Source organism: Homo sapiens, chromosome 22 (assembly GCF_000001405.40).
Source record: "Homo sapiens chromosome 22, GRCh38.p14 Primary Assembly".
Taxonomy (NCBI): Eukaryota; Metazoa; Chordata; class Mammalia; order Primates; family Hominidae; genus Homo; species Homo sapiens.
The window spans coordinates 30,553,395-30,576,112 of NC_000022.11; the positions used below are offsets into that span (position 1 = coordinate 30,553,395).

Below are 22,718 nucleotides of genomic sequence, written 5' to 3' on the forward strand. Positions count from 1 at the left end.
CACTGGATATGAGCCCCAGGAGGGATTGGCCAACTTGTTTTTTGTTGGTGGTGGTTTTTGTTTGTTTGTTTGTTTTTGTAGAAATAGGATTTTGCCATGTAGCTGAAGCTAGTATAACTCCTGGGCTCACTAGATCCACCCACCCCAACCTCCCAAAGTGCTGGGATTATAGGCAGGCACTAATAGCAAGTTGGCTAGCTTGTTGACTGCTGTATGCTCAGAGCAGCTCAGGGCTGGGGGGCACAACAGGGATTTGGTGGATACCAAATTTTTTTTTGGATTAATTGAATGGAATCTCACGGTGGAGCAGGGAAGCCCAGGGCTTTTGTTGGGGCAGAGTATAGGCAGGTGTGGGAGGTGGCCTGGGATAGGGGGGCAGAAGTAGGAGGGGCAGGTAGAGACAGAGTGAGGCAGGCTAGGAGCCAGGGACCAGTAGGGATGGAGGGAGAGGGTGGAGGAGGGGAGAGACAGGCACTGGAGATGGGAAGGCTTTGGGGTCCCTGGGAGATGGTTTGAGTCCCTGGTCTGATACGTCCTGCGACGTGACCTCAGGCAAATCCCTTCCCCTGTCCAAATGTCCGTTCCCACATCTGTAAAATGGGACGGTAATTATAACGACCTCAGTTATTGTGAGGAGTAATGAAGTCTGTGCAAGAAGCCCTTAGCCTGGGCCCAGGGCCTGTTGGCAATGCCCTACTGAGTGGCCCCACCCCTGCCACCTCCCTGTCTCTTCCTCCCTCTCTCTCTCTCTCTCTATTCTGATCCGGCCACACCCTCTACCCGCCCAGCCCCCTACTCTAGTCCTACCACTTGCTGTGTGATCTTGGTGAAGTGATTGTCCCTCTCTGAGCACCCTTCATTGTCTCTAGCATGAGACAATAACAGTCCCCAGGTCGCTGAGTTTTGGTGAAGATGGGTTGAGATAATGCCCTTAGCCTAGTGCCGGGCACACAGTCAGAGTGAGTAACTGTTGTACTCTGTTGTACTCCTTAGGATGATCACACACACATGCACACATGCACACACGTGCACACAAGCGCACACATACACACGCGCTTTTCCAGGCCTTGGTAGCTCATGGGAGTCCCTGAACCATATAGAACTATAGCATATAGCAAATAACACATCAAATCCCTGCCACCCCATTGGGCTCTGCCCACAGACTCACCCAGGCACCACTGTGGTCTCTTGGGTTCCCCCCACCCCAACCCCCACCCCAAGTCACCACCACTGAGGCTGATTAACAAAAACACAACATCAAATTCCTTTACTTCTGAGGTCTCCCCTTTAAGGGGAGGCAGAAATAGAACATTCTTTATCGGGGAGGGAAAGGGGTTTAATAAAAACTGGTATAATTAGTTAAATACTGATCTCGGTTAGGCCCTCTCTGTGTTCATGGGCCCAGTCTTGGCTGGCTGCCTCCCCCCAGGGAGCCCCCCCTCACCCCGGGGTCTGAGGTGGCACCAGGAGGGGGCTGGGGGCGGCCAGCACCAGCGGCGTCCTGCTCAGCCCCTCTGCAGGGAGCGAGCAGGCAGGCAAGCCGCTGGGCGGTGGGACGTCACCACCGCAGGAAATCGCGAATGAACTTCCAGAGCTTGGTGACCCACAGGTTGGCGCCGAGGTCCATCAGGTACTGGATCTCGGGCGTGAGCATGCGCCGGCAGAGCTGCGCGTGCCGCTGCCCGATGCTCTTCTTGAGGTTGTAGCCCAGGATGGACTTGGTGCCCAGCGGCTGCCAGGGCTGCATGGCCTCGTCCTGGATGGCGGCGGCGTCCACGGCGTGGCCCCCGTCGATGCAGATGGTCCGCATGCGCTCGTTGGCATGGCGCAGGGCGGCCACCTCGCGGGCCATGCGCTCCCGCCCGAAGGCCTCCACCTTGCGCCAGAAGCTGGCGTTGAAGTGGCGGTAGAGGTGGGAGTCCAGCATGTTCCAGGCGGTGGCGCGCCCATACAGCTCCCCCGAGAGCCGCGGCACGGGCGAGTCGCGGCGGGCGTTGAGCTTGAAGTAGAGCACGTCCTCCAGCTCCCAGCACAGCAGGTCCTTCAGCAGCACCAGCGACTCGTCGAAGTACTCTTGAAGGAGCACCAGGTGGAAGCGACGCTCCACCTCCAGGATGTGCTCCTGCACCTGCGGGCTGCTGGGGTCCAGGCTGTTGTCATAGCCCAGGTCGAAGAAGAGCAGGTTTCGGAGGTAGTGGGCATTGAAGCCGTTGGGGTCGTAGTAGCGATCCGGGTCTTGCAGGAACTCGGTCAGCTTGTCGCCGGCCGAGAGCTTCCACGTGAGGGGCACCACCGGCCCGAAGTAGTGGAAGGAGGACTCGAACAAGCGGGCGGGGTCGCGGAGCACCGTGATGAAGATGGCGTTGGTCGGCACCAGGCCGCGCACCTCGTCGTAGTGGAAGCGCATGTGGTTGCAGATGATGTTGAAGCAGGCCCCGGGCCGATAGTCCTGCACCAGGCTGCGGGCGAAGAAGGTCGGGTAGTCGAAGTCATTGCGGCCGTTAGGGAAGGCGAACTTGAGCCGGTGCTTCTGGCCGAAGCGGAACAGGATGTTGAGCAGGGTGCTGCTGGCCGTCTTGTGCGTCTTCAAGAACACGATGTTGCGCCGCGGCTGGCACTCCCCCGCCGAGCCGTTGGCCCGGATCACTGCCTCTGGCTCGAGTGCAGGTGGAGAGCAGGACGCTGCGGCCTCCGGGGTCCTGCTGGGGACAGAGAGGTGGGGAGAGCCTCAGGGGGGTGCTGGGGCCCTCAGGACTCTGGTAGTTAGAGAGGGAGATTATTGGGAACAGTGGTGGCAAAGGAGCTGGGATAGTGAGACCTGTGGGGCCTGAGTCCAGGCTGGGTGCCTGCGCGGGTGGTTTGGCCTCTCTAGCCTCATGTTCCTCTTCTGTGAAATGGGGACGATAACAGGCCCTATTCACGGTGTTGTGAGATGAGGCACACAGGCTCTCCTCTCATTCATGGCCACTGTGTTGCATGTACCATGAATCAGTATCAGCTTGGGCCACATGAAACTGCCATTTTATAGGACAAAAATGGTCCATTTTTGCAGAAATTTGCAGTTTCCTCTGTGTCAAGTTAATATCACCAACCACTGGTATTGCACCAGCTACAGGCTGTGCTGGGTCTGTGCAGAGCAGCCCCATGAGGAAACGGGAGAGCCTGGTTCTCAGGAGCTGGGCCTGGAGTCAGACCGACCCGTTTGAATCCATGCCCATGGACAGGTCGCCCCCACCAGGGCCCCGTTGGCATCTCAGATGATGCAAATCTGAGCCCTGTACAGACAGTGTTACCTGATTCTCATGCTCTATGAGGAAGGCTCTGGGTTTTTTTTGTTTGTTTGTTTTTCTTTTTGTTTTGAGACAGTCTCACTCCGTTGGCCCAGCCTGGAGTACAGTGGTGCCATCTCGGCTCACTGCAACTTCTGCCTTCCGGGTTCAAGCAATTCTCCTGCCTCAGACTCCCAAGTAGCTGAGATTACAGACACACACCACCATGCCCAGCTAATTTTTGTATTTTTAGTAGAGATGGGGTTTCACCATGTTGGCCAGGCTGGTCTCGAACTCCTGACCTCAGACGATCTGCCCGCCTGGGCCTCCCAAAGTGCTAGGATTACAGGCGTGAGTTGCCGTGCCCAGCCGAAAGGCTCTGTTTTTATCCCCACTTCACAGATGGGCACACCAAGGCTCAGAGTTACACGGCGAGCTCTGCCATCAGTGGAATTTCTGTCTGGCACAGCATGGTGCAGGGTGCAGGGTGGCTACCCAAGATCACTGGGGCAGGCCCTGTGGTAATTACAGGGCCCCATGGGTGGGGTGCCATCCCTCCCCCACCTACACCCATCATCTGCCCAGCTGGGCCACTCACGTGGAGGCCAGGCCGGCATGCAGCGGGGGCACGGCATAGGAGTACACCAGCAGCAGGAAACTAGTGAAGAGCGCGCCCAGCACCAGCCCCTTAGCCATGGACTCCCAGGGCTTCTTCTGCGGTGGCAGCATCTCAGACACCTGCAGGGGCAGCACAGAGTAGGGCAAGTGTCAGGAAGCTGGCCCCAGGGAGCCCCCAAGGCTGCCCAGGCCTGGCAGTTGAGCCCTGCCTTTGCCTGCTCTGTGGCCCCCCAGCAGGGTCCAGACAGGGACAGAGAGGCACTGGAGAGATAGACTGACAACCACCTGGAAAGAGACAGCCCCAGGGTTGCAGAGACGGTGGGTGAAGCAACTCAAAGAGAGGTTGGGGAATGGGGCAGGGAGAAGGTTAAAATTTAAAAATTAAAATGAACCGGGTAGAGAACCAGGGCCCCAAACTTTCCACTCCTTTTAATTTTTAAGCTGGCTGATAAGAAATAAAAGAAAAAGAAACAGAAGAAAAAATGAGACAACTAATACTTATTACCTTTTTTTTTTTAGTTATCTTATTTTTTCTTCTGTTTCTTTTTCTTGTATTTTTTATAAAAATATATATTTAAAACATTCTTCAATTTTACTTCAAATTCTCCCAGATCCTGAAGTTATTTTTTATACCTTTTAGGGCATCATAATGAAATTATTTCCTTTTTTATATTTTAATTTTTTTAAAAATAGAGACAGTTTTGCCACGTTGCCTAGGCTGGTCTCGAACTCCTGGGCTCAAGCAATCCGCCCGCCTTGGCCTCCCAAATTGCTGGGATGACAGACGTGAGCCATCGCGCCCGACCATGAAACACTTTTCTAAGGCAAAAGGAAAAAGCCTGGGCACAGTGGCTCACACCTGTCATCCCAGCACTTTGGGAGGATGAGGCAGGCGGAGTGCTTGAGCCAGGAGTTCAAGACCAGCCTGGGCATATGGTGAGAACCTATCTCTACAAAACAAAATTTAAAAAAATTCACCAGGCGTGGTGGCACATGCCTGTAGTCCTAGTTACTTGGAAGGCTGAGGCGGGAGGATTGCTTGAGCCTGAGTTCCAGTGAGCCATGACTGTGCCGCTGCACTCCAGCTCTGGATGACACAGTGAGACCCTGTCTCAAATAAATAAACAAATAAATAAGAAGGAAAAGAAGACCCTCTCCCCGTGCCCTGGGCCCTCCCTCCCCCAGGCCTGGGCCAGGGCTGTCTATAGGGAAGGCCAAGGGCTCTCTGGGGCCTGAATCCTTCACCTTTCAGAAGGCACAGCCAGCCCTACCTGTCCCCTGTGCCACCCACCCCACAGTGGTACAGGTGAGGTGCCCAGTAAGAGCCCAGGGCTCTTCTCTCCTCACTGGCCCTTGTGCCCCTAGAGTCTGTAGGGTGGCTGATGGAGAAACTGAGGCTCACAGCTGGGAAGAAGAAGGCTCAAGTCACACAGCTGGCCAGGCCTCTGCTCACATACCCACCCCCTTTCCAAAGCCAGCCTGTAGGGTTGCTCAGTTAAATTCAAATTTCAGATAAACAATGAATACAATTTTTTACAGTATAAGTATATTCCAAATATTGCATGGGACATAGTTATACTAAAAATTATTCCAAGGCTGGGCACGGTGGCTCACGCCTGTAATCCTAGCACTTTGGGAGGCCGAGGAGGGTGGATCACCTGAGGTCAGGAGTTTGAGACAAGCCTGACCAATATGGTGAAATTCTGTCTCTACTGAAAATACAAAAACTAGCTGGGTGTGGTGGCATGCCCCTATAGTCCCAGTTACTCAGGAGGCTGAGGTAGAAGAATCGCTTGAACCCAGGAGGTAGAGGTTGCAGTGAGCCAAGATGGTGCCACTGTATTCCTGCCTGGGTGACAGAGTGAGACTCTGTCTCAAAAAAAAAAAATTATTCAAACTTCAAACTTAACTAGATGTCCTGGAGGTTTTGTTGTTATTTCCTTATTTTTTCATTTTTATATGTTTATTTTATTTTTTTGAGACGGAGTCTCGCTCTGTCGCCAGGCTGGAGTGCTGTGGCGCAATCTCGGCTCCCTGCAACCTTTGACTCCCCGGTTCAAGCGATTCTCCTGCCTCAGCCTCCCAAGTAGCTGGGATTACAGGCACACGCCACCACACCCAGCTAATTTTTGTATTTTTAGTAGAGATGGAGTTTCACCATGTTGGCCAGGATCATCTTGATCTCCTGACCTTGTGATCTGCCCACCTTGGCCTCCCAAAGTGCTAGAGTTACAGGCATGAGCCACCGCGCCTGGCCCATTTTTATACATTTTTAATATTTATTTTATATTATTATTTTTGAGATGCCCAGGCTGGTATTGAACTCCTGGACTCAAGCAATCCTCCCACCTCAGCCTCCCAAAGTGCTGGGATTATAGGCATGAGCCACTGTGCCCAGCCTGTTGTTATTTGTTTTGGGGGATGATCTAAGCGTGGCAACCCTATCAGCAGGGGACTGAGACATGGACTGTAACGGGGGCAGTTCAGGCTGAGGAACTGGAGTCCAGGAGAGAGCTGCGGCTTGGAGGGCCTTCCCACCTCCCCTTAGCTGCAAAACCAGGTCCCCAAACTTTCTACTCTTGTCCCGAACTTTCCACTTCTGTCCTGGCTCACACTGCACTGCGCCCTGGGCCCCTGAGGCCAGGAAAAGTCACATGTGCTAATAACTACATGCATGCATTATCACCACTGTCCCTGGAGTCAGTCCCCCTGGGGGAGGGTCACACACACTATGCCCTGGAAAAGTTATGCTGAGGTGGGAGGATTGCTTGAGCCTGGGGGGCAGAGGTTGGCAGAGGTTACCGTGAGCCAAGGTCGCACCACTGCACTTCAGCCTGGGTGACCAGAGTGAGGCCCCATCTCAAAAAAAGGCAATAATTGTCAACACGTTAACAAATGTGTTAGTTAATTTGTTACTTAACACATTTAAGTAACAAATCAGAAAGCTTGCAAAGCGGAATAAACCCGGCAGCCATGGAGGGGCCCCAGCACCAACCTCAGGCTCTGGGACCCTCAAGCCTGTGTTTCAATCCAGCACTGTGATTTCAGACAAGCCAAGAACCCTCATGGAGTCTCAGTTTTTCATCTGTAAAATGAGAAAGCTGGAGGCGCCCCTAGCCATTCTCTGGAGAACTTTTCTAAGCAAGCAACCAGCACATAGTCATCACTTAGAGTGTTATCTGTACCCCTCCTGAGGCCCGGGGGGCCTGCCTTCAACCCCAAAAGGAGTAGGGGCTGGGCCGCCCACAAAGCACAAACCTGCCTCAGCCTCAAGCACCCCTGTCAGCCTCCCACTTCTCAGCGACCCAGCAGAAAACAGGGCAGAGTCGTGGACCAGATCATAGTCCAAAACTCTGGGCCTCAGTTTCTCTGACTTAAAGATGAGGAGGGATTAGGATTCCTGTGGCTTGCCCTCTGGAAATCCCAAGGACCCACCCCGGCCCCAGCAGCCCCACTCACCAAGGTACCTTCTGGAATCAGGGAGGCTGCAATAGTGGAGGCGCTGAGGTTCAGGCCCAGCAGCAGGGGGCAGACCAGCCTCCCTGCCCCGCCAATCAGGCTCCACCTGGCCCCGCCCAGGACAGTTCCTCCACCCGCACCCCCCCAACCCCATTACTGGTACACTCATTCACTCATTCACTCACTGGTTTCATTCTCCCATTTGCTCTTTTGTTTGTTTTTGAGACGGTGTCTCCCTATGTTGCCCAGGCTGGAGTGCAGTGGTGTGATCTCGGCTCACTACAGCCTCCACCTCCTGGGTTCAAGTGATTCTCCTGCCTCAGCCTCTCGAGTAGCTGGGACTACAGGTGCCCACCACCACACTCAAGTAATTTTTGCATTTTAGTAGAGCCGGGGTTTCACCATGTTGGCCAGGCTGGTCTCAAACTCCTGACTTCAAGCGATCCACCCGCCTTGGCCTTCCAAAGTGTTGGGATTACAGGCGTGAGCCACTGAGCCTGGCCCCCATTTGCTATTTCTCAAAGCTTGCCAGGCCCCTGCCACACGTGCTGGGTGCTGCCAGCCACTGAACCTTGGGCTATCCCTCCTAGTTTTACTTTTGAGCCCCTGTTAGGAGCCAGGCCCAAAGCAGGGGCCTGCCTCTCCAGAGCATCTAACTGACCCTACTCAGCAACCACTCAGTGGATACCACTCCACCCCCCACCCTGCTGTCACCCCCATTTGGTAGATGGGAAAGGTGAGGTTCCAGGAGGTGACATAACTTGTCCAGGGTCATTCAGCAAAGCGGGGGCAGGGCTGGAATTAGAGCCCAGGTCTATGGAACTCCAATGTGCTGCTTCCTGCTTTGTCCATGGCAGCCCCTGCCTGGTGTGTCCTAAGCCCTGTCCCAAGCCCAGGGGAAGGAAGGAGGGAAAGTTGCATTGCAGGAAGTGGGGGATGTGGGGTTGGACAGGAAGCTCTATCCTGGGAGCACAGCAGGGTCCCGTCTCTGTGGGCTGAGCCTGCGGCCAGGATAAGGGGAGGGAAAGCAGAGGGGGCCCTGGTGTCCGTCCCTCCCGTGCCAGCCACCTGAGGGGTCCAAGGCTGGTTGTGCCTTTCCTGCCTAGCTACTGTAAACTTAGGCATGAAGCTATGAACCTCACCCTCCCTAAGCCTCAGTCTCCTCGTGTGTGCAATGGACACACAACAGCAAGATCAAGGCACACAGAGCGCTCTGTAATCACAGGCAGAGCCCCTGGGCAGACTGAGGTCGGGAGAGGAGCTAGCTGGCAGCCAGGAGCCTGGCTTGAGGGAGAACAGTCACTAGGCTATGAGATAATTTTTTTAAAAAGACAGGATCTTGCTCCATCACCCAGGCTGAAGTGAAGTGGCACGATCATAGCTCATTGCAGCCTTGAAATCCTGGGCTCAGTGGATCTTCTTGCCTCGGCCTCCTGAGTAGCTAGGACTAACAGGCATGCACCACCATGCCTGGCTACTTTTTAAAAAAAATTTTGTAGAGATGGGGGTCTCACTCTACTGCCCAGGCTGGTCTCGAACACCTGGCCTCAAGTGAATTTCCCACCTCGGCCGCTCAAGTGCATACCACCCATGCCCAGCTAAGTTTTTAATTTTTTGTAGAGATGGGGGCTCTCACTATGTTGCAGGCTGATCTTGAGTTCCTGGCCTCAAGTGATCCTCCCACCTCCACCTCCCAAAGTGCTGGGTGTAAGCCACCATGCCATGCCCTAAGGCTGTGAGACTGAGATAATGCACGTACCCAGGAGATCAACTCATATTAATTATTATCATACCATTGACTCTGACCCAGCCTTGGTTCACCGGCGTGCCAGAGGTGAGGTCCCTTCCATGCCCCGCTGCAGGCAAGCCTACCAGTGACTCATCCCTGAGCTCCCCGAGCCTGGCACCTGGTGAATGTGTGATGAATGACTTCCCATGACCCTCAGGGCAGAAGGTGTCCAGGGCTATAGAGCCCGTGCAGAGAATGTGGATGAGGACATGGTCCAGGCAGACAACACCTCACTGAGACACAGGAGAGATCCTGTGTAGGAGACCTACAGACGAAAGTAATACATGTGAGGCACATGCATGTAAAAGCTCCCATGGGCCAGGCCCGGTGTAATCCCAGCACTTTGGGAGGCCGAGACAGGCAGATCACGAGGTCAGGAGTTCAAGACCAGCCTGGCCAACATGCTGAAACACCGTCTCTACTAAAGATACAAAAAATTAGCCGGGTGTGGTGGTGCGCACCTGTAATCCCAGCTACTTGGGAGGCTGAGGCAGGAGAATTGCTTGAACCTGGGAGACAGAGGTTGCAGTGAGCTGAGATTGCGCCATTGCACTCCAGCCTGGGTGACAGAGAGAGACTCTTTCTCAAAAATAAATAAATGGATTAAAAAATAATAAAAATAAAAATTGAAATCTGAAATGTCCCTAAATCCAAAACTTTTTGAATGCCTACATGACACCACAAATGGAAAATTCCATACCTGACCTCACGTGACAGGTCTCAGTCAAAGCGCAGGTTTATTTAGCATCCTGAAGGGAAAAATAAAACTACCTTGAGGCTATGTGTATAAGAAACATACATGAAGATGGGGTGTGGTGGCTCATGCCTGTAATTCCAGCACTTTGAAAGACAGACACAGGAGGATCACTTGAGCTCAGGAGTTTGAGGCCAGCCTGACCAACATGGCAAGACCTCATCTCTACAAAAAATACAAAAATTAGCCAGGCATGGTGGTGCATGCCTGTAGTCCCAGCTACTGGGGAGGCTGAGGCGGAAGTATCACCTGAACCTGGGAGGTCGAGGCTGCAGTGAGCCATGATCGTGCCACTAAACTCCAGCCTGGGCTACAGAGCAAGACCCTATCTCAAAAAAATTAAAATTAGGCTGGGCACAGTGGCTCATGCCTGTAATCCCAGCTCTTTGGGAGGCCGAGGTGAGTGGATCATGAGGTCAGAAGATCGAGACCATCCTGGCTAACACAGTGAAACCCCATCTCTACTAAAAATACAAAAAAAAATTAGCCAGGCTTGGTGGCAGGCACCTGTAGTCCCAGCTACTCAGGAGGCTGAGGCAGGAGAACGGCGTGAACCCAGGAGGCGGAGCTTGCAGCGAGCCGAGATCACTCCACTGCACTCCAGCCTGGGCGACAGAGCGAGACCCCGTCTCAAAAAAAAAAAAAAGCTTAAACAATAAAATCAATAAGAAAGAAAGAAACATAAATTCTTTCTAAACTTAAATGTTTAGACTTGGGTTCCATCTCCAAGATATCTCATTACATATATGCATATATTTCAAAATCTGAAAAATCTGAAATCCGAAACACTTCTGGTCCCAAGCATTTCGGATAAGGGATACTCAACCTGTACCAGCTGACCCTCCATCACAGGGTGCTGTGCAGATCCTCTGCATTCCACAGGGAAAGCACCCAGCCCGAGGCTGGTGCAGAGCAGACAGTCACTCAGCAGGGCCTGCCATCATTGTTATCATCATTATCATCATTACGTTCCCAGGGTCCCAGCCACAACCCCATCAAAGTGTGTGCCCACTGGCCCACGATGGAGGCTTGCAGGCAGCCAAGTCCAGGGATGATCTCAATGTAGCCAGAGACTCCTAGCCTCAGGGTCAGAAGACAAAGAGGCAGGGAGGCTCAGACTCAGAGAGGGCAAGGATACCTTTGGGGTAACACAGCCCAGCAGCAGCAGAGACAGGACTAGAACCTGGGTCTCCCACCTCCTCCACCCACAGTAGTGACAACTGCAGGCACTCAGGATGGACGGTCCCCCCGTCACCAGCCCACTCCATCTATTCCTGCCCTTCTAGATTACGCCCATCACATTGGCCTGCATCAGTGCAGGCAGCTGGCAGCAGGCCAGGCCCAGCCATCCTCCTGTTTAGCTGAACTGATGCCCTCCAGGGAATGAAGGAGAAACAGGACTTATTCCCCCACATCATGCACAAAGGGAAACTCAGCCCAGGATGGTAAACCTTCTGGCTTAGAGCATCACCACCAGTCAGGTCTCAGGGTATCCTACTTTCCCTGTAACCCCTGTGGTGGAGCAAAAGAGACACACTCACCTCGGGCTGTGGCTGGCTGCCCCTTTCTACCCACTGCCTGAGCCACGTCCAACTCCCAGGCTGCCTCTGCGATCACTGGGAGACAGGAATGCTCCAATGACACCCAGCAGCAAGCTGGCTGGCTCCCTCCCACTCCAGTGGTGTGAATATTCATGAGTTTGCTTCCTGGGGATAGCAGGTGGCACACCCCAGTACCCTGCAGGTGTTGCCCAGGCCTTCTGCCTCCACTGGACAGCTCTGGCCAGTCCTCACCTCTCTTTGGACCCCAACAAGCAAGCAGCTCTTTCATCCAAGGGCACAGAAAGATTCCAGGTATCCTTGGGCCAAGGACACAGCAACCGCAGACGCCTGCAGAGAGCCCAGAACAGGCTCTAAGGCTGAGTGAGGGACAGAGAGGTGCAGGTGGGCTGGGGTGCCAGAGGGCTAATTGCCCCACCTATTGCATTTCATTTAAGTCTCACAGCTGATGCATCAAGCACCCCTGTTAGTCTACCCTCCTGGTAAAGAAACCAAAGCTCAGAGAGGTAACGTCACCTGCCCAAGGTCACGCAGCTAGTAGAGGGCAGACAGAGCTGGAGTACATACGCAGACTTGCCAAACTCCAGGGCTTAAAGATGCTGAGACACAACCAGGGACCAAGGTTTATCTAAAATCTGTGGGAACCCAGAAGAATGAACAACTAACTCAGCCTGGAAGGCTTCCAGGAGGCAGAGCATCTGACCAGGGCTCAGAAGATGAGTCTGGCAAGATTTCACTTCCTGAGCTCTAAATCTTTCATCAGAGAGGGTGTCCTGCCTCTATCCCTGGGTGAGGAATGGTGATACCCAGACACTCGACCAGCTCTGCAGGATTTGGGCTGATTGGAGATGCAGATCTTCCCCAAGGCCTTGGCAGAAGAGGCAGTTCTAGGTGCCCTGGCCCTAAGCCCCAGGAACCCTAGGACTCAGTTCAGGCACTTGAATCTTAGGTTCAGGTCAGTTGTCTCAGCTTTGCCCATGGGCAGAGGGTCTCCTTGTGCCCAGAAATGCCTCCTCCATCCTCCCTTCAGCACTGCTGCCTAGAACCCCATCATGGACCAGGCAGGTGTCACCATTTAGGGACCCAGGTGCCACCATCAATTAATAATGATCATTATTGTGACAGTCATTCATCCCACACTAAGCACTTTCATAGGCTAAGCAGCTGCCAGCCTCTCCCAGGGAACAGCAGGCATCCTCACTTGCTCTGAGTCCCCCTTTCCCTCAAAGCCTCACCAGTCTGGGAGCAGCCCCCAAGCACCCACGAAACACCAGAGCTTAAACTGCCACAAGGCAGACCAGAGTCGCCTTCTCTCTAGGTACTGGAACCAGGTTTGGGACATGGTATGGAGTTGTTTTATCCAGCCTAACATCCCATTGACCTTCTGCCTTTTGAGCTGAGCTAGAATGAAGACAGCTTTCTGACGGTGAGTCAGGGCGGAGCTGGCATCAAACCGCAGGGGCTGTAGTTTATTAGCGTGGACTCTGAACCCAACACGGTCCACTTCTGTGCTTGGGACCTGTCATGCATCATGCAGCCTCATAGTCCTCTCTGGGGAGCTCTTGTTATCACCTCCATTTTATAGAGGAGTGAGAACTTCATCTAGGTGAGAGTGAAGTGCAGGCTTTTGAACAAGAAGTGAGATCGTGGCTGAGGAGGTGAGCAACTAGCCAAGGGAAGCAAAGATTTCCAGAGTAGGGAGCACTGATGGTAGACCTGTGCTTCCAGCCCTGCCAGAGGGGTCTCTTTCCAGAGTATTGATGATAACATCTTTTTTTTTTTCTTGAGACAGAGTCTCGCTCTGTCGCCTAGGCTGGAGTGCAGTGGCGCCATCTCAGCTCACTGCAAACTCCACCTCCCAGGTTCATGTTATTCTCCTGCCTCAGCCTCCTGAGTAGCTGGGACTACAGGCACCCTCCACCATGCTCGGCTAATTTTTTGTATTTTTAGTAGAGACGGGGTTTCACCGTGTTAGCCAGGATGGTCTCGATCTCCTGACCTCATGATCTGCCCACCTTAGCCTCCCAAAGTGCTGGGATTACAGGCGTGAGCCACCACGCCCAGCCGATGACATCTTTGGCTGGTTCTCTACCCCCACCCCCAGGAAATTTTTATTTTATTTTATTTTATTTGAGACAGGGTCTCACTCTGTTGCCCAGGCTGGAGTGTAGTGGCAAGATCTTGGCTCACTGCAACCTCTGCCCCTTGGGTTCAAGCAATTCTCCTGCCTCAGCCACCCAAGTAGCTGGGATTACAGACATGCACCATGGTGCCCAGCAAAAACTTTTTCAATGATAAAAGCAGTATACTGAAAAAAAAATTCAAACAATACAGAAGAGTATAAAGAAGATGATTAAAAGAACCCCAACCCCAGAGGTCATCACCATCACAGGATTTCTGGCCATATATTTATATAGATGATGGAATGGAAACTGTTTTTGTTTTTTTGACACAAGGTCTTGCTCTGTCACCCAGGCTGGAGTACAGTGGCGTGATCATGACTCACTGCAGCCTCAAACTCCTGGGCTCAAGAGACCCTTCCACCTCAGCCTCCCAGGTAGCTGGGACTACAGGTACGCACCACCACGCCTGGCTAATTTTGGCATTTTGATTTTTTGTAGAGATGGGGTCTTGCTATGTTGTCCAGGCTGGTCTTGAACTCCTGGGCTCAAGTGGCCCTCCTGCCTCAGCCTCCCCAAGTGCTGGGATTACAGGTGTGAGCCATGGAGCCCAGATGCACGTGCTTCTTTGGGGACATATTTTGTTAACTTGCTTTTTTCCCACCTATCGATAAATTGTGGACATCTTGCAGCCACGATAGTTTTTTGTTTGGTTGTTTTTTGTTGTTGTTGTTGTTTGAGACAGAGTTGCACTCTTGTCACCCATGCTGGAGTGCACTGGGGCAATCTCGGCCCACTGCAACCTCTGCCCCCTGGGTTCAAGCAATTCTCCTGCCTCACCCTTCCAAGTAGCTGGGATTACGGGCACCCGCCACCACACCCAGCTAATTTTGTATTTTTAGTAGAGACAGGGTTTCACCACCTTGGGCAGGCTGGTCTCAAACTTCTGACCTCAAGTGATCCACCTGCCTCAGCCTCCCAAAGTGCTGGGATTACAGACGTGAGCCACCGCGCCCAGCCCGTGATAGTTTTAAATTGATCCATCCCACAGGTATTTACTGGGCACCTGCACTCCAGGACTAGAGTTCATGATAACCCGGTGCAGAGAACTCAGGGCTCACAGTCCTAACTGGGGAGACACAGGAACACACAGCTGTGAGGCGTGTGATGGACAACGGATTGTCTGAGGCTTGCAGAAGCACGAAGAAAACACCTGATCCAGCCTTGGGGCGGAGACAGCAGTATCAGGAAGGCTTCCTGGGGTAGGGGCCTCTGGTGGCAGAAGCTGTTGTGTGGTCTCCAATTTCCAAAGACAGTCCCCTTTTTTCCACGGCAGCACAGCTAGACTATATTTCCCATGCGCCCTTGCAGTTCAGTGTCCTCACATAACTGGGTCCTGGCCAATGATATGTGAACAGAATGCCAGCTGATGAGGTTAAGTGGGTGGACCTTTTCTGTGGTCTCCTTTCCCATTTACTGGATGAACGGGGTGGTCTCCAAGGATCTGGGCATGGGCGGAGCTGGGAGGAGCCTAGGTCTTTGCATCTCCACCCACCAGACACTGACTGGATTTCAAGAAAACGAGAACTGTATTAAGCCTTTTAGAACTTCAGGTTTGTCTGTTACAGCAGCTAGCATTAACTAATATGCCTGTTACCCTAGAATGAGCCACACAGAGAGAAAAGCACATGCAAAGGCCCAGGGCAATTGAGAAACAAACTTTCCACCTGGCTGGAGTGTTTGGTGTGTTTGCGTGTAATAGGCTGGGTGGGCAGGGGAGAGACTACAGAGACAGCCAGAAACTAGGGCAGGGTTAAGAGGGACATGCAGAGGCCTGGCGCAGTGGCTCACGCCTGTAATACCAGCACTTTGGGAGGCTAAGGCGGGCAGATCACCTGAGGTTAGGGGTCCGAGACCAGCCTGGCCAACATGGTGAAACCCCGTCTGTACTAAAAATACAGAAATTAGCCGGGCGTGATGGCAGGCGCATGTAATACCAGCTACTCGGGAGGCTGAGGCAGGATAATCGCTTGAACCTGGGAGGCAGAGTTTGCAGTGAGCAGAGATCGCGCCACTGCACTCCAGCCTGGGCAACAGAGCGAGACTCCATCTCAAAAAAAAAAAAAAAAAAAAAGAGGGACATGCAGGGCTTTCAGGAAGCATGCTACTGAGTCTCACCTAGATCCTGTGGGCTGTAGGGACAGACCCACAGGAGGGTCTTCAGCAGAGGAGGGAGCAGATGGGATTCCCATTGGGCTACTGGGTAAGAAATGAACTGTAGGGATGGGGAAGGAGAGGGAGGAGCAGGCCGACCTCCATAGTAGTTGTTACAGCTGTGCAGGTGTGACCTGGAACAAGAAGGCTGGGGAAGTACCAGAGCTGTCTGTAGACCATGCAAAGGTAGCATCCTATTGGCAGCAGGTATGGAGGAGAGGAGGGAAGAGTTGCTGTTGGGTGACTGGCTGGCTGGAGGTAGAGCTAGTCCCTGAGTCTGGGAGGCTGAGAAAGGGCCAGGTTGAATGCTGGGTGAAGCAGGTGGTGTCTGGTTCTGTTTAGAATACTCTGAGTCTGAGGGATGTTTGGGATGATCATAGAATGCCTGAAGAGCAGTAGGAGCAAAGAGGGGGGTCTTGGGGGAGGGAAAGAGGTAGGCGGGGAGCTGGGCACCAAAGTGGGAATTGAGGCCATAGGAATAACTAGAGTCACCAGGGAAGGGTGAGGAAGGACAGGGAGCCTGTGCTTACGGAGCAGGGTGAAGAAGAGCTCCCTAAGGAGACAAAACAGGGCAGCTAGGGCTGTATCAGAGTTTGCAGCACCGCTATTCCCCCATAAACCATTCCCCAGCCGGGCACGGTGGCGTGCGCCACCCAGCATTTTGGGGAGGCCAAGACAGGCAGATTGCTTGAGCCCAGGAGTTCGAGACTTGCCTGGGCAACACAGTGAGACCCCATCTGTATAAAAAATTTAAACATTAGCCCTGTGTGGTGGTGCACGCCTGTAGCCCCAGCTACTCAGGAGGCTGAGGCAAGAGGACCCCTTGAACCCAGAAGTTCAAGGTTACAGAGAGGTATGAACGTACCACTGCACTCCAAGCCTGGGCAACAGTGTGAGACCCCATCTTAAAAAAAGAAACTCCAAGAAACAAAAGCCATTCACCAACTGAGGCACATCCGTGCTGTTTGCTCATATGCACATACAGGAACAGGGCTCTGGCAGAGAAGGTGGTGGGGTGAGGTATCCCAGGGCTTTCTGTAGCTGGAGTGGAATCCCATCGGGATATGGAAGGAGCTTTCAAGAGTGGAGCAAAACAACTCTCCCTATGATGTTCGTAGTGCAGATTTGACAGCAGCTATTACAGTTCTGAGTGTGCCTGTTCTCAGACCCAGCAATCCACCTGCAGGAATGTGGCTCAAAGATAATCTAACAATCAATCTGAGATGGGCATATAAAAGTGGCCACTGCAGTATCATTTCCTCCAGTGCTCACAGAGCCTTTACCCCCATTTAGAAGATGAGGAAACTGAGGCTCGGAGAGATTAAAAAAGAGTTGCCTGACCGGATGTGGTGGCTCACGCCTGTAATCCCAGCACTTTGGGAGGCCAAGGCGGGTGGATCACCTGAGGTCGGGAGTTTGAGACCAGCCTGACAACATGGAGAAACCCCATCTCTACTAAAAATACAAAAATTAGCTGGGCATGGTGGCGCATGCCTTTAATCCTAAGGCTGAGGCAGGAGAATCACTTGAACCTGGGAGGCGGAGGTTGCAATGAGCCAATATCGTGCCATTGCACTCCAGCCTAGGCAAAAAGAACGAAACTCCGTCTCAAAAAAAAAAAAAGAGTTGCCTAATATTAAGCCTGGAATGCACTGTTTATGGAATAAACTTATTCATGTAGAGAAAAGTTGTACATTCGTACATGTGTATAAGGGTCTGGAAAGACACCCAGTTATAAATTGTAGCTCTCTGGGGAGTAAGCCCATTCACTTTCTGGAACATATTTTGATTCTGTGATGATACACACACACACACACACACACACACACACACACACACTCTTTACAAAACAGCTTATATTACTTTGGAAAGATAAATAAAGATATTTCCACTTTGAAAATCTGCAGCCTGGCTGGAGGAAGATGAGCCCCACCTCTCCTCACTGTGTGGCCGAGGCAAGACACTCTGCCCTCTCTGAACCTCAGTGCACCAAGTGAGGAAGGGGCAACAGGGGCCTGGGACTGAGAAGGAGCTGGGAAGTGTGGGTGGCACAGCAGAAGGGGCGGATGGGATAGGTTAACCCTCCATCCAGGGGTACTGGGGAAGTGACTTGCAAGCACCTAGAAGCTTCCTCAATCTGAGCCCCTCTAGAATGGGGTGCTGGAGCAGAGAGGGGGAAGACCACCTATTGGAGCATTTCAGCTGGATCCCAACTCGCTGGCTCAGAGGACCACTTCCAAAATGTCAGCCCAGACATCTGGCCCCTGCTGCGACCTAGCCTGCAGGGGTGGATGCAGGTGGTAGCTGGCCCAGCAGTTGAGAGAGGGTAATGTTCTTTGATGATTCAGAAAGCACTTTTTGAACTTTCGGGGTCATCTCTCTCTGCTGTTTCAAAGGGCATCCACGGCCGGGCGCAGTGGCTCACGCCTGTAATCCCAGCACTTTGGGAGGCCGAGGCGGGCAGATCACGAGGTCAGGAGATTGAGACCATCCTGGCTAACACAGTGAAATCCCGTCTCTACTAAAATTATAAAAAAATTAGCCAGGCTTGGTGGTGGGCGCCTATAGTCCCAGCTACTCGGGAGGCTGAGGCAGGAGAATGGTGTGAACCTGGGAGGCGGAGCTTGCAGTGAGCCGAGATTGCACCACTGCACTCCAGCCTGGGTGACAGAGCAAGACTCCGTCTCAAAAACAAAAACAAAAACAAAGGGCATCCATGCCTGTGACCTTGACAGACACTCCCAGTCTCCTCTGCTAGCCCCATGTGATGTGTGGGGAAACTGAGGCTCAGTTTTTTTGCCTACACGGCAAAGCCAAAATGAGGAGCAAGGCCACAGCTCTTCCTGCTACACTGCCTTGTCTGGGTAAATCACCCCGCTTCCTGAGGGGGGGATTTGAGTAGCCTTAGAGAAGCGCTAACTGGGGCGTTGCAAGTCACAGCTTCACCAAGAAGTCAGTCACTTTGTCATTAGCTCCAAAAATGCTGAGAACCCCAGAGCTGAGTATGTAGGAGTTGATAATATCAGTCTCTGTACCTTACAACATGCCTGAAATATTTTTTAAGGATTCTTATGCGCTTATTTGCCTAAAACTATGTAACAATATAAAGGTTTGTGAAAAGGTATTGACACTTGCAATGCACAATGCCGGAGATACATACACCCACCTCTCCATTCCTGGAAACTCGCCTGGTAACAAATGCTGGCTCCACCACCCCCCAAGCTGGGTGACCTTGGGCAAGTGACTTCCCCTCTCTGAGCCTTGGTTTCCTAAAAAATGGCAGGTACTATGATGCTTTCACAGGCCTGCTGTGAGGCACGCAGAGCCCTTCACACACTCAGCGTTAGCTCCTCTGATTGTATTGTGATCCTCCTAGATCCCACCTGGTAGGGGAAGCGGGCTCTGTCCAGACTTCTAGAAGGATACCATCCCCATCCAAGGAGCCAGAACTAGCAGGAGGGAAGGCAGGCATCTTCTGGGCCCCCACTTCCTCCCACCATCACCCCTCACCTGGAGATTCCAGCAGTCCCCAGCCTGATGACCCCCATGGGCACCTGTGTTCCATCCTGCTCTGCCCTGTTTGGAGTCGTGTGGAGCCCCTAAAAGGGCTCATCCATATTCCTCACCCAGTCAAAGTGAAGCAAGGAGCCCTTCAGGAGCCTGCAGCCGGGCCCAGAATTCCATTTGTGCATCATTCTCTCAGGTTAATCATTGCCTCTTTCACTGGATGGCACACCCAGTCCCTCAGAACACAGTGGGAGGGGCTGTGGGGGACACACTCCTCCCTTGCTGGGCGACAAGAGGGCATCGGACCCATTAAGGGAAGGGGATGCATGGGGACCAGGCATTCTCTGTCCGCAAGGAGCTTCCTCCAGGAAGGGCTCTGCCTGAGCAAGCAGGGAATAAAGCAGGCTGAGGTGGCAGCTGGGAACAGGGCTTCGTTGTCTCGGCTCCCGGGGTAGCAGCCTGCTCACCCGCTGAAGTGTCAGGCGGAGCTGGGAGCCAGGGAGGCGAGGGGGGGTGTCCAGAGCTGAGGGTTTGGGGCAGCCCAGGCAGATCCAAGAAGGCAGGACCCCAAAGGAGCAGAGAGAGGTCATGGGTTGGGCTGGGGTCCTGAAATGGGGGCCAGGGCAAGACTCCTATGATTTGGAGTCAGCTCAGCTACCTCTGAGCCATGTGACCTTGGACAAGTCATTGAATTTCCCTGAGCCTCAGTATCCCCCTCTGGATAATGGGGATAGGTAGCAATGCCTCCTTCACAGGACAAGGAACAGTGCGTACACAGTGACTGCTCTGGTCCAGGACTGCCCTCCTGTGCCCCCTGTGTGGGCCTGGATGAGCCTCACCCTCTCTGGGCCTCAGGTCACCCCGTCAGTAAAGGAAGAGATTGGGTTTTCCCAACTGGAATGGACAGTCCTCTACACCTCTCTCCCCTCTGGAGGATTCTCATGCACCTGTCACCGCGGCAGCCCGGGGATCAGGTGTCAGGCATGCTGCCTTCTCTCCCTTTCCTTCCCCCTGGTGTGGGTTACAGCAGCCAGACATGCCCATCACCTCTCTGGCTCTGGGCAGCTGGGCGGGGCAGTTCCCACTGGGCAGGGCTCGGTCTGTAGTGTGCTCTGTGCTGGTACCAAAATGCTGGCCTGGCACCGAAGGGGCAGATCAAGCTGGACCCCCTTCCTGGGCACTGGGCTAGGAAACAGGAACTGTAGGATTTCCTATAGGACCCCTCCTGGATGCCAGGGTTTGTCCCACTCTCCCAAACCTCTCCTTGGTGGCTTTGCTTCCTCTGGGGTACAGGCCAGGGCCTTCCCCCAGCAGAGGGGATCCATCCCTTACTATGGTCTCCGGTTCCTGCTCTGATCCCCTTTCTAGGAAGGGCTGATGGAGACAGGGGAGATCTCTGCCCCTCCTCCCCTAGGGCTCTGGCCACTGTGTCCAAGATTAATCATTAACGCACTCCCAGCTCCAGCTCAGCCCCAGCAGCCTGCCTTCTGCCCCACCCATCCCACCTTCAGGGACTGGGAAGCCCTGGAAGGGGGGTTGGGGGACAGGGGAAAAAACCAAGGGCATGGGGGGCACCAACCTGTGCCCTCCCTGGCCCCTACCAGGCCACCCTCTGGCAGTGGGCAGGGGTACCCAGCGCTTAGAACAGCGGTACTGCACTCCTACTCCCCTCCTCCGGCGCGTGGTCCCAGTTTGGGGGTTAGCGTAATGTGGGCGGTATCCCCAGGGAGTAGACTGAGGCAGGGCTCAAGCTGGCAGTGGGTGCTGGAGCCCGGGACGTACCTTGTCCCCGTCCTCCTCCGCCTCAGCGTGGCTGGCTCGGCCCGGGCCGCGCCGCCCGGGCGCTCACTGGGCGGCGGGGCGCACCCGGCCGGGCCCCCCGCTCCACCAGGCCTGGTCCATGCCCCCGCCCCCGCCGCCGCTGCCGCGCCGCGCCCGCTCCCGCGCCGCGCCCGCTCCCGGCCAGGTGCCGCCGCCAGCCTGGCCCAGCCTCCGGCGCCGGGGCCAATGGACGCCCCGGACCCCAGACCCCTCCCCGCCCCGGGCCGGCCCCCTCCCCGCCCCATCCCGGCCCCTCTGCGCCCGCCCGAGACGCACAGAAGCCGCATTCAGCGCGCTGGGGCGCAACGCTGCGCCCCCGCCGCCGGCCCAACAAGGCCCGTTTGTCTCGGACGCGCCAACGGGGCCATTGTCCCGCCCCGGTCCTCTGGCTCAACGGAGCCCCCAGCCCAGAAGACTTGAGGATGCCCAGGCTTGGTGGTGGTGGGGAGGGGAGCCAGGGCTCTGGGAAAAAGGCGGCGGACGGACTATTGCTTAACTTTGGTTGGGGGGTCCTGGGGCCCTTAGGATCCAATGGATCATACGGCTTCTTGCTCTAGTCAGTGCCAACTGGGGACGACACATTTTTGGCACTCATGGGAGTGGAGGGAGCTCAAGCAAGAGACTGAGCTCCAACTGGTCCTGTCACCTGGAGGTCTCAGCTGTCACTCTCTAGGGTGCCAATGAGGGCTGAGCAAGGCCACCAGGAGGCAGGTGTCCCATCCAGGCCCTGTCTCATTTTCCAGGCCTGGCCTTTCCTTCTTCACCCCAGAGGAGCAAGACCATGGATGAGGACCAATGCCTGCCAGGGGCCAGGAATCCTCAGCGCCAGCTGTGGGCAGTAAGGAACCAGCTGGCCACCCAGTGGGGCCTGGGATGCGTCAGAGCCCCACTGCCCCCGCCATTACTGGGCGATTCTGGAATGGGGAAAATTCCACATCAGCATGGCTGCCAGGAATTTTTCCGTATCTGATGGGCCTGCGCTCTAGCCGTGTGGCCCTGGATGCACAGTTCCCCAGACAGGCCTGAGTTGTCTCCCGGGGCTGCAGGCTCTGGCTCCAGAGGTCCTGACCCTCTGTCCCAGCCTCTGGAGGCAACCTCACTCCCTCCCATCGCCGTGTGCATGACAGAGTGGGAATGGCACACAGCCCTCTCCTTCCACCCACAGCCAGTCCCAGCTGAGAGGGGGAGCCCTAGGTTTTCTGCTCCCCAGGCCAGAGCCTGCCCAAGCTCTTGCCTTCCCCCTGCACAGGTTGGACCTACATCCACTGCCACAAAAACATTCTCTGCCCACACAGCCAGCAAACAGTGAGAGGCAGAGGGCAAGGCCCTCAGGTGCCTAGATTCAGGGAAAGTAGAGCCATTCCAAACCCACACTTCCTCAGCGTGGCCCCAACCCTCGACAGCACTCACCCCGGGAAGTGAGTCCTGGGAGGGGCTGAGTGAGCACTGGGAGACCCAGGTTGTGGTCCTGGCTCCATCATGATGCACTGGCGGTTCCAGGCAAAGGCATATCCCAATGGGCGTCAGCAGGGACACTGCCAAGGTCAGCGGGGAAGCTGTCAGGCAGGCCTCACAGACCGTAAGTGCAGCTGCTGCGGAATCCTACGC

At 54.3% G+C, this 22,718-nt stretch overlaps 1 protein-coding gene across 20 annotated transcripts, besides 4 other annotated features; it reads right to left on the reverse strand.

Annotated features, from left to right (window-relative positions):
* Positions 1-1,240: 1,240 nt before the first annotated feature.
* GAL3ST1 (galactose-3-O-sulfotransferase 1) lies at positions 1,241-21,271 on the reverse strand. 20 transcript variants are annotated; one of them, NM_001318116.2, is made up of 5 exons: positions 7,347-7,382; positions 6,883-7,024; positions 4,885-4,994; positions 3,868-4,007; positions 1,241-2,699 (listed from the first exon to the last, which is right to left on the reverse strand). In NM_001318116.2, exons 4-5 carry the CDS (start codon positions 3,996-3,998, stop codon positions 1,559-1,561), a joined length of 1,272 nt encoding a protein of 423 aa, NP_001305045.1. In that variant the 5' UTR covers positions 3,999-4,007; positions 4,885-4,994; positions 6,883-7,024; positions 7,347-7,382; the 3' UTR covers positions 1,241-1,558. The 20 variants fall into 20 exon arrangements, with proteins under 20 accessions (NP_001305045.1, NP_001305033.1, NP_001305037.1 ...); NM_001318104.2 differs by lacking the exons at positions 6,883-7,024; positions 7,347-7,382 and adding an exon at positions 21,072-21,271; NM_001318108.2 differs by lacking the exons at positions 6,883-7,024; positions 7,347-7,382 and adding an exon at positions 19,293-19,472.
* Positions 12,035-12,235: a silencer, noted in NCBI's record as "peak4480 fragment used in MPRA reporter construct". NCBI's record gives its function as "represses an SCP1 promoter by STARR-seq MPRAs in K562 erythroleukemia cells {active_cell/tissue: K562}" and the evidence as "EXISTENCE:reporter gene assay evidence [ECO:0000049][PMID:32103011]".
* Positions 17,672-18,173: an enhancer, noted in NCBI's record as "H3K4me1 hESC enhancer chr22:30967053-30967554 (GRCh37/hg19 assembly coordinates)". NCBI's record gives its function as "activates a minimal SCP1, AML or CMV promoter by ChIP-STARR-seq in primed H9 embryonic stem cells {active_cell/tissue: H9 hESC(primed)}" and the evidence as "EXISTENCE:reporter gene assay evidence [ECO:0000049][PMID:30033119]".
* Positions 19,829-20,510: an enhancer, noted in NCBI's record as "H3K4me1 hESC enhancer chr22:30969210-30969891 (GRCh37/hg19 assembly coordinates)". NCBI's record gives its function as "activates a minimal SCP1, AML or CMV promoter by ChIP-STARR-seq in primed H9 embryonic stem cells {active_cell/tissue: H9 hESC(primed)}" and the evidence as "EXISTENCE:reporter gene assay evidence [ECO:0000049][PMID:30033119]".
* Positions 20,511-21,191: an enhancer, noted in NCBI's record as "H3K4me1 hESC enhancer chr22:30969892-30970572 (GRCh37/hg19 assembly coordinates)". NCBI's record gives its function as "activates a minimal SCP1, AML or CMV promoter by ChIP-STARR-seq in naive and primed H9 embryonic stem cells {active_cell/tissue: H9 hESC(naive and primed)}" and the evidence as "EXISTENCE:reporter gene assay evidence [ECO:0000049][PMID:30033119]".

Excerpts from the sequence above, each read along its gene's own strand:
- GAL3ST1 (XM_011530518.3), bottom strand. The coding sequence starts at position 19,474 with ATGCACAAATGGAATTCTGGGCCCGGCTGCAGGCTCCTGAAGGGCTCC. Across the intron at positions 4,008-19,408 it reads CCTTGCTTCACTTTGACTGG|GTGTCTGAGATGCTGCCACC; the intron begins GTGAGGAATATG and ends CTGCCCCTGCAG. Across the intron at positions 2,703-3,867 it reads CATGCCGGCCTGGCCTCCAC|CAGGACCCCGGAGGCCGCAG; the intron begins GTGAGTGGCCCA and ends CTCTGTCCCCAG.